The 9,963-nt window shown below is 42.2% G+C and overlaps 2 annotated features.

Moving 5' to 3' along the window:
* Positions 6,862-7,730: an enhancer, noted in NCBI's record as "H3K27ac hESC enhancer chr10:47034571-47035439 (GRCh37/hg19 assembly coordinates)". NCBI's record gives its function as "activates a minimal SCP1, AML or CMV promoter by ChIP-STARR-seq in primed H9 embryonic stem cells {active_cell/tissue: H9 hESC(primed)}" and the evidence as "EXISTENCE:reporter gene assay evidence [ECO:0000049][PMID:30033119]".
* Positions 7,731-8,599: an enhancer, noted in NCBI's record as "NANOG-H3K27ac hESC enhancer chr10:47033702-47034570 (GRCh37/hg19 assembly coordinates)". NCBI's record gives its function as "activates a minimal SCP1, AML or CMV promoter by ChIP-STARR-seq in naive H9 embryonic stem cells {active_cell/tissue: H9 hESC(naive)}" and the evidence as "EXISTENCE:reporter gene assay evidence [ECO:0000049][PMID:30033119]".

Below are 9,963 nucleotides of genomic sequence, written 5' to 3'. Positions count from 1 at the left end.
TATTTCAGAGGCGCTTTCTTCCCTCCCTTCTCCCAGTGTTTCTGGCTGCCTTTTGCAGTCCCTGAAGTTTTTCTCAGGGTCAGTGTGTAGTGAGAAATCAGCCTCAGGGCTGAGATGGACTCTTAATTCTGGACGCCTGTGTCTGTGGCTCTGTCTTAAGCTAGTGGGGCCCAGAGAGGATGTTGGCATGACTCTAAGTGGAATGTCTGCAGCCGGCGTTCTGGATTTTACTGCCCAGTAGAGGTGGAATGCTCCTGTGGTCCTCAGTGAGATTGGGAAGTTCATAGCCCTCCAGCATTGCTGTGGGTGAGTTGACTGCTTCAGGGGCCACTGGATCTTGTCTGGTATGCCCACTGTCAGTCCACCTGTGTATCAGCCCAGCCTCATCAGCATTTACAGAGCACTTACTGTGTGCTAGGTGCTGAATGCAAAGACAGAAACAAAGCATGCCCTGCTCATAGGTCAGTAGGAGAGAGATAGAAGCTGTCTTGGTTTGTTTTGTGTTGCTATAAAAGAATACCTGAGGCTGGGTAATTCATAAAGAACAGAAATTTATTTCTTATAGTTCTGGAGGTTGGGAAGTCCAAATTGAGGCAAGCCACAGACCTTCCTCAAACAGGCACCAGCCTGGTGTGGAAGACAGATATATATGTATGCGTGTGTGTGTGTGCGCACACAACACGGGAAAATTTAAAAGCATTCCTGAACTCTGCCCCACACCCTGTGAATCAGAATCTCTGAACCAGGTTATTATTTGCAAATAAACAAAGCTATAAGAAGCCACATAAAACAAATGCATGGCTTAATGGATTTTTACAAGAGTAAAGCTTTGTAACCACCACCTAGACTAAGAAACAGAACTTTGTCCAGAGGCACCTCCTCACTCTCTTCTCCAAAGTCACCACTACCTTGACTTACAGTAGACACTCCTTTCCTTTGCTTCATAGTCTAATTATTACCCACATGTATATCCCTACACCCTATAATTAAATCTCACTTATTTTATAAAAATACATCTTTTAAAAGTTGGTTAATACACAGGTTTTCCTACCCCCTCCCAAGACCCAGGTCATTTGATCTGTAGAGTTTCCAATAGTCTGGATTTTGCTGACTGCACTCTCATGGTGCTATTCAACATGTCCCCTGTCCTCTGTGTTTCCTGTAAATTGGTAGCTCATCCATGTTCCAGCATGTATCAGTACATCATTCCTTTTTATGGCTATTATTCCATTGTATATCACAATTTGTTTATCCATTCATTTGTTATGGAAATTTGGGTTGTTTCCACCTTTTGGCTATTGTTCATAGTGCTGCTATAAAGATACATGTACTTGTTTGAGTAGTCAGTGTCAGTTCTTCTGGGTATATACCTAGGAGTGGAATTGCTTGATCATACCATAATTCTATATTTAAGTTTTTGAGAAATCACCAAACTTTTCTCAGCAGTTGTGCCATTTTACATTCTCACCAACAATGTCTGAGGGTTCCAATTTTTCTACATTCTTGTTAGCCCTTGTTATTTTCCATTGAAAAAAATATATCCATCCTAAGTCAGGTGCAGTGGCTCATGCCTCTAATGCCAGCACTTTGGGAGGATAGCTTGAGGCCAGGAATTTGAGACCAGCCTGGGCAACATAGTGAGATCCTGTCTCTACAAAAAAATTAAGAAATTAGTAGGGCATGGTTATGCCTGCCTGTAGTACCTCTTAGCTGCTCAGGAAGCTGAGGTGGAGGATCACTTGATCCTGGGAGGTTCAGGCCACTGTGAGCTGTGATGGTGTCACTGCACTCCAGCCTGGATAACATGGCAAGAGCCTGTCTCAAATCAATAAATTATATATGTATTATATAATTTATCATATAATAACATTATTATATATACATATTATAAATAATTATATATAAATATTATATATATCCATCCACCTATTACATATATATACAGTGGGTGTGAATTGGTACCTCATTGCAATTTTGATTTGCATTTCCCTAATTAATAAAAATATTGAGTGTCTTTTCATGTGCTTGTTGGCATTTGTATATTTTCTTTGGAGAAATGTCTATTCAAGTCTTTGCCCATTTTAAAATTGAGTTGTGTGTTTTTGCTGATGAGCTGTAAGAGTTCTTTAAATGCTTTGGATACCAGACCTTTATTAGATGTATGATTTTACTTTGTTGGTAATTTTCTTTGATGTTCGAAAGTTTACTATTTTTATGAAGTCTAATTTATCTAGTTCTTCTTTTGTTGTTCATGCTTCTGGTATCATATCTAAGACTCTATTGCTAAAGCTAAAATTATGAAGATATACTCCTATGTTTTCTTCTAAGAGTTTTATGGCTTTAGCTCTTATATGTAGGTTGTTGACCCGCTTTAAGTTAATTTTTCTATATGGTGTAAGATGGGAGTCCAACTTCATTCTTTTGCATGTGGATATCCAGTTGTTCCAGCACCATTTGTTGAAGAGATTATTTGATTATTATTTCCCCCATTGAATGGTCTTGGCACTCTTGTTAAAAATTAATTGACAATACAGTTGGGCCTGGTGGCTCACATGCATGTAATCCCAGCATTTTGGGAGGCCAAGGCAGGCGGATCACTTTTAGCTCAGGAGTTTGAGACCAGCTGGGCAACATGGCAAAACCCCGTATCTACTAAAAATACAAAAATTAGCCAGGTGTGGTGGTGTGTGTCTGTAATTCCAGCTACTTAGGAGGCTGAGGCAAGAGAATTGCTTGAGCCAGGGAGGTGGAGGTTGCAGTGAGCTGAGATAGCACCACTGCACTCCAGCCTGGGCCATAGAGCAAGCCTCCATCTCAAAAAAAAAGTTAATTGACAATAGATGTATGTAGATAGATCATGGATTTATTTCTGGACTCTCAGTTCTATTTTATTGATCTGTTCTTATGCTAGTATCACACTGTTTAGATTACTGTAGCTTTCTAGTAAGTTTTGAATGTGGAAAACGTGAGTACTCCAGCTTCGTTTTTCTTTTTTCAAGATTATTTTGGCTATTCTGCATTCCTTGATTTTCCATATAAATTTGAGGATTGCCTTGTCAATTTCTGCAAAGAAGTCATCTGGGATTTTGATAGAGATTGCATTGAACTTATAGATTAACTCTGGGATATTTCTATCTTTAACAATAAGTCTTCTGGTCCAAAAACATGATATGTATTTTCATTTATTTTGATCTTTTAAGACCTCTTTCAACAATGTTTTATATTTTTCGGAATATACCATTTGGATTTCTTTTGTTATCTTTATTCCTAAGTATTTTTTGATGTTATTGTAAATGGAATTATTTTTCTAATTTCATTTTTGTCTTGTTCATTGACAGTGTATAGAAACAGAATTGATTTTTGCAAACTGATCTCATGTGCTAAAATCTTGCTGAATTCATTTACATATTTTAATTTTTTTGTGAATTGCTTAGGATTTTCTACATAGAAAAATCGTGTCATCTGCCAATTGAGACCATTTTACATCTTTCTTTCCTATCTGGGTGCCTTTTTTTCCCTTATATAATTGCAATAGTTGGAACCTTCAGTATGATGTTGAATGGAAGTGGTGAGTAGACATCCTTGTTTCTTTTGTGATCTTAGAAGGAAAGCATGTTGTCTTTCCCATTAAATGTGATGTTATCTATGTTTTTTTTGTTGTTGCTGCTTTTTTAGTATATACGCTTTATTAGGTTGAGGAAATTCTCTTTTATTCTTTCTGAGTGTTTTTACTATGAAGGAGTTTTGTATTTTGTCATTTTTTTCTGTATCTATTGAGATGATTATGAGGTTTTGATCTTTTATTCTATTAATATAGTATTAATAGAACAATTAATAATATGGTATTACGTTGATGATTTTTTGGATGTTAAACCAACCCTGCATTCCTGGGACAAACTGCACTTGATCATTGTGTATAATCCTTTTTATATGTTGCTGAATTTAGTTTGCTAGTATTTTGTTATTATTGTATCCATATTCATAAGAGGTATTAGTAGTGTTCTTTTTTTGTGATGTCTTTGTCTAATTTCAGTATCAGAATAGTAATGGCCCCATAGAATGAGTTGGGAAGTGTTTATGCCTAACTTTTTGCAAGTTTGTGAAGAATTGATAATAATTTTTCTTTAAAAGCTCCTTTAAATGCAAATATTTTTAAAACGCAAATTATTCTTTAAATGTTTAATTTCACCAATGAAGCCATTGGGGCTTGGCTTTCTTTTTGCAGTTAGTTGTTGGATTACTAATTTCATCTCTTTAGTTGTTAAAGGTTTCTTTAGACTTTCTATTTCTTCTTTAGTCAGGTTTGGTTTCTGTGTTTTTCTAGGAATTTCTCCAGTTCATCTAAGTCATTTAATTTATTGACATATAATTGTTCATAGCATTCACTTATAATTTTTTATTTTTGAAGGTTAGAGGTAATATCTTCTTTTTCATTTCTGATTTTAATCTTTCTTTTTTCTGGTCAGTATAGTTAAAGATTTGCCAATTTTGTTAATCTTTTCAAATAACCAATTTTGGTTTTTAAAGATTTCTCTATTTTTTTCCCATTGGCATTAGCAAGGGTTGGGGAAGTATTTTCTCTATTGTCTTTATTATTAAGGAATTAGCCTGGTCTATGTTATTTCTAGACTAGCCTCTATTATTTTCTTCTTTCTTCTTGGTTTAGGTTTGGGTTTGGGCTCTATGAATATAGAGCTTGATCAACTACCAGGTACATGCTTGAATTCCATCTTGTGATGACAGAGCTGGGATTACAAAGAGGAATGATACACACACTCTTCCATTGAAAACCCATGGTGCAGTGGGAGAGACTCAAATGCACCACTTCCATATAAGTGGCCAGTGCTATAAGGAGCCATTATCAGGAAGGAAATGATAGCCTGGGAGGGCCTCAGAGAAGTCAGAGAAGCTTCCCAGAAGAGGTGATGTTAGAATGGGGTTTTGAAGGAGAATAGAAATCAGTTAGGTATCGAAGTGAAGGAAGGGAGGTTCTGAGAAGGGGTTAGCATGTGGAAAGCCCAGGGCTGAGAGAACAGGGTGCATTCTCAGAACTGGAAGTTGTGTGGTGTTTTTGGAGCAGGACTGAGAAGGTGAGGCTGTGCTTGAGAGAAATGTAAACAGGGGTCCTGTGCGAGAGTCCACGATCTTTCTGCTTCACAAGGCTGAAGCCAGAGCCCTTCCCTGAGCTCAGGCTCAGCTTTGCCAAGTCAGAAGTGATTGCAGAGCTGTAGAAGAGTTGATCTATTAATGGTATGTAGAACAAAGGGAATATTTTTAAATATTGTAGTACAATATTTAAGAAGCTTCCACATGGCAAGAGGAACTGCAGCCCCTACCCAAAGCCAGAAAGGGGATCCTGCCTCATACTTGCTTTTTTGAGGCTGACTTGCGAGGTGTGAGGCCTACCTCGAGAGTGATGGGGTGCCTCTGTGTGTTCTGAACTCTGCGTGAGGACAGGCCCTGATGCCTGGGCAGAAAAGCGCCTCCCTAGGCCAGACCAGACTGGGCCCAGGCCATCATGGCAAGGACTCCACCAGAGAGCAAAAGGTCAGAGCAGATGAAGCAGGATGGGCAGAGGCTGGCAGGTCTATACCAGGCAGCTAGGGGCACTTAGGGGGTTCTTAAACTCCTAGTCACATCAGGAGCTTTGCATCAGTGCTGTCAAAGGGAAGGCCAGGGTCTGGCCTTAAAAGATACCTCTGAGAGACTGTGCTGTGGGTCTGTGAAGGGACTTGGGTTGTGGCAGGAGAAGTCGGGACTCATCCGGCTCCGAAGAGCCATGCAGCCTCATTCACGTGTCCCACTCCAGTGTAGGAAGTCCTGTCTCACACAGGAGCTGGGGACACTGAGGATGGTGGAGGAATTCCACTACAGGGAGACATCAGGAACACAAAGTGTGGTTGTTGGAGCTGGAAGGTGAGGATGAGTTCACCAGCCAGAGAAGAAGAGAAAAGAGCTCCAGAGAGAAGGTACAGCACATACAAAGGTGTGGAGCACTCACTACTCCCTGGGCAACTTCTGCCAAAAATCAGGACCCTTTCCTCCTATACACCCTTCTCACTTCCTGGGCTGTCATGCATGTTTGCTTGTGCAACACTCTGGGAAGCAGGCGGCACAACCCCATCTCACAGATGAGGAAGCCAAGGCTTGAGAAGTGTGATGGGAGATCTGGGACGAGAGTCCCAGCTCCTGCTCCTGGTCCAGTGCTCTGCTCGTGTGTGTGAGCATGCGTGTGTGTGTGTGTGTGAATATATATGTATGGATGTGTGGATATGGAAGGTGTTTGTGTGAGTGCAGGAGTTTGTATGTGTGAACATGTAGGGTGTTTGTGTATGAGTATTTGTGTGTATGTGCATGTTTGTGTGTGTGTGGATATTTATGGGTGTTTGTGTCTATGTGTGTGTTTGTATGCAGGTGCACGTATATATGTGTGAATATGCCTGTGTGTATGTGTGGATATGCAGGGTGTTTGTGCGTGTATTTGTGTGCATGTGTGTGGACCCCATAGGTGTTTGTGTGTGCAGATGTATGTATGTATGTGTGAATGGGTGTATGTGTGTGAAGGGTGGGCACACACAAGGGCCCTGTGAGAGAGAAGCCCCTAACTTGTCTATCAGTCCTTTCTACACTGGGGATGAAGGTTTTGTGAGCCAGGCAGGCTGACAGCTGACATGGAGAAATCTTGGGTACTGGAGTTGCCAAGACATGTTTCATGTCCATGTTCTGTCACTCATTGGTTGCATCACCTCCTTCACTCTCAGTTTTCTCATCTGTAAAATGGTATCCTCATGGTCTCTCTCATGAGTTGCTGTAAAAAAGGATAATTTTTTTGTGTGAAATTTCTAGGGCCTGGCCCATGGAGGGGATCTGTACAAGCTAGGCTGCTCTCCTCTGAAGATCCCAGGGTAGCCAGCCTGGCTTGGCTTCCTGGGGGCCCAACACAATAGGCTTTTCCTGATGGCCTTGGAATTCAGGTCATCCATGGACACATTGGACCCATGGGCACATAGCCTGTCAAATGTGCAGCTCAGCACTCTCTGGGACCCTGTGGGGCAACAGAGAATCAGGCAGACGGGTATTGGGGTGACCCGGGGGGAGGGTCAACATCACACGTGCATCTCAAAGCCTGCCTTTCCCTAGCTGGGTCTGTTATTCCTGGTGGGCAGAGCCCTAGGCCTTGCCTTGCCCACAGGTTGGGGCACACAGGCAGGGTCTTCCCTGACAGCCATTCTGGGGCACAAAGGAGGTGGCTGGCCCAAGGCTGGTGTGGGGTGTATGTTGTAAGAAATGGGGTAGGCCACCAGACCCAAGGTGACCTCTATCAGGGAGAGCCCATTGAGAGGACTGGAACCTGGGTCCTGGATGGGGAGCCAGGACTCGGGAGCCAGTTCTTCATGGGAGCTAAAGTCAGAGCTGGAATAGTCCCATGTGAGAGAGGAGCCTGGAGTTAAGGTTAGGATGGCCCTGAGGCTGAATGGTAGTGGGTGCCGCAGGAGTGGGAAGGTTTAGGTGACGTCTGGTATCACTGCCACTATGAGCTATGCAGAGGGGGCCTAATAAGTCCAGGGGCGGGACCGTCAAGACCCTGGGCCTGGACTGCCCTCTCTCCACAGTGTCTCTGAGCCACATTAGAGGTCTGCGCTTATGGCTTCAGCTCCTCCTTTAGGGCAAGAACCCAGGAAGTTATCTGGTCTGCAGCATTAGGTCCTGGCCAGGAGTACAAACTCAAATGCCCATGAGGCCAGGAAGGTGCCATTGGTGAGTGCAGCAGCCTGGAAGAGTTCCAAATGTCCTAGATGGACACAATTGAAGCTGGTGAGAGAAGTGGGTCATTCACCACCTGGAGGGCACGTGCCTGTTCCCAGGGCAGCAGGTGCTCACCTATGGCTATTGTTGTCCAGCGTGTGACCAGAACTTTGGATTTTTTCATGAAAAGCTGGACATCTGAATTTTTTTTTTTTTTTTTTTTTTTTTTGAGACAGAGTCTTGCTCTTGTCGCCCAGCTGAACTGCAATGATGCAATCTCGGCTCACTGCAACCTCTGCCTCCCAGGTTCAAGCGATTCTCCTGCCTCAGCCTCTCGAGTAGCTGGGATTACAGCAATTATATGCCACCACACCCAACTAATTTTTTTGTATTTTTAGTAGAGATGGGGTTTCACTATGTTGACCAGGCTGGTTTCAAACTCCTGACCTCAGGTGATCCGCCCACCTTGGCCTCCCAAAGTGCTGGGATTACAGGTGTGAGCTACCGTGCCTGGCTGAAATCTGAATTTTTAAAATTCAGTAAGCCCTCAGTAAGCCACGCCCCAGGACACCCCCAGAGGCAGACGCCCTTTGTTAGGAGCTACATGGTCGTCGTTCCCACCATCCCCCAACACTCAGGAAAGGGGCAGGGACTGTTTCAGGACATCGACTCCTTTCTTGGGCCCATCCTGGGTGGACAGCCACTGTCCGTGGCCCCTTTCTGCACGGACTGGGGTTCCTTTCTGAGTATGCAGAGGGTGGCAACAAGGTCTCTTTCTGAATTAAAAAAAAAAAATTAAAAACAAACTTAAAAAACAAAATTGAAAAAACCCCAAATCCCAGGATGGAAGAATAAATACAATCAACAAAAGTTCTGTTATTTATAAATGGAAATTTTTGCCATTAATAATGATGTGATACTAAAAATTTTTAATGCATATTGATTATAAGGTTTTACCAATTTTTAAATGGGACACTTTGCTTTATATTGCTAAATATAAAACAATATAAAACAAATTTGGACAAGGCTGTCCAAATTTGGGTAATATTTGCTTAACTGCAGTGTCATAATGAAAGTAGCTTGGTATTTTCAAAATTGGATTCTAATTTCTGGCCAGTTAAAGTTCTCAAGGAGAAAAAATTTTAACAACAGAAGGTCTAAGGAATGCATGGTCAAAACAGGAAACACCCAGTGGGCAGGTGACATGGGCGGAACCTCCAGGGAAGGTCAGGCACGCTCAGACTTTGTTCTGCACCTGGCTGTGATCCCTGCTCCTTCTCATAATCCAGTGTGTCTTTTCTTTGACTTCTAGTTAGCTTCAATCTGTGAATTCAAGTACCAACTTTGTTTTTGTTTTCAAAATCTTGAACTCTGGACCACTTTCGGCATGCTGTTTTAAGAAAGTAGTTCACTTTCTGAAAATGGTTTTAATTACTTTGCTATTCACGTGGAAGCATAATTTGCACATTCAGCCAATTTTTGCAAATAACTTTCCTCTGTTTCATATTGTTTCAAGCCTAGAGGAATAATAATTTCTTGTTCCAGGAGATACTGTTTTCAGTCATTAATTGGTGATTTGATTAAAAAACAAATTCTGCCTTCTGCCTGGATCATAGTGATCCCCAAGGGGCTGTTCTGTTGTTTGCAGATCTGAGATATCAATACTCTGTCTCCCTAAACCTTCAGGATAGTCTGCTGCATACACAGTAACCTGTATCAATGTCTGGCTTCTTTCTTTGAAGGTAAAAAGAGGGTGTGCTCTGTGCCTCATCACCATGGTACAAAACAGGATGGCCCCTGCAGCTTGGTGAGAAGATCACTAAACTGAACTAACTTCATAGGATCTGGTTTTTGGCAGCAGATGTAACCATGAGACTAGAAGGCCCCAGGAATTCATAAACTTCCTGGCATTGAGCTGGGCTCGTCCATGGGGTGCGGACTGAATTCAAACGGATGTCCCTAGGTCTCAACAAGCAGAGTAATCACTGCTGTCTGACTTGCACTGATAAGTTTTAAGTCTAATCTGAATTGGGGCTTGCTGAATCTCAAAGATGTCAACCAAGTCATCAGAGAAACCAAAATTCTCCTAACCCAAAATTACCTATGCTAAGATTCACTAGCAGGCAAGTTTTAGCTCAAACTCACGGTGAAGTCCCTGTATTCTGGTTGCCAAGTGGCAGTGTGAGAAGGCAGCCAGCACCACTGCTCGCTAACAGG

Source organism: Homo sapiens, chromosome 10 (assembly GCF_000001405.40).
Source record: "Homo sapiens chromosome 10, GRCh38.p14 Primary Assembly".
Classification (NCBI taxonomy): Eukaryota; Metazoa; Chordata; class Mammalia; order Primates; family Hominidae; genus Homo; species Homo sapiens.
This window is presented reverse-complemented; position numbering and strand designations above follow the sequence as displayed.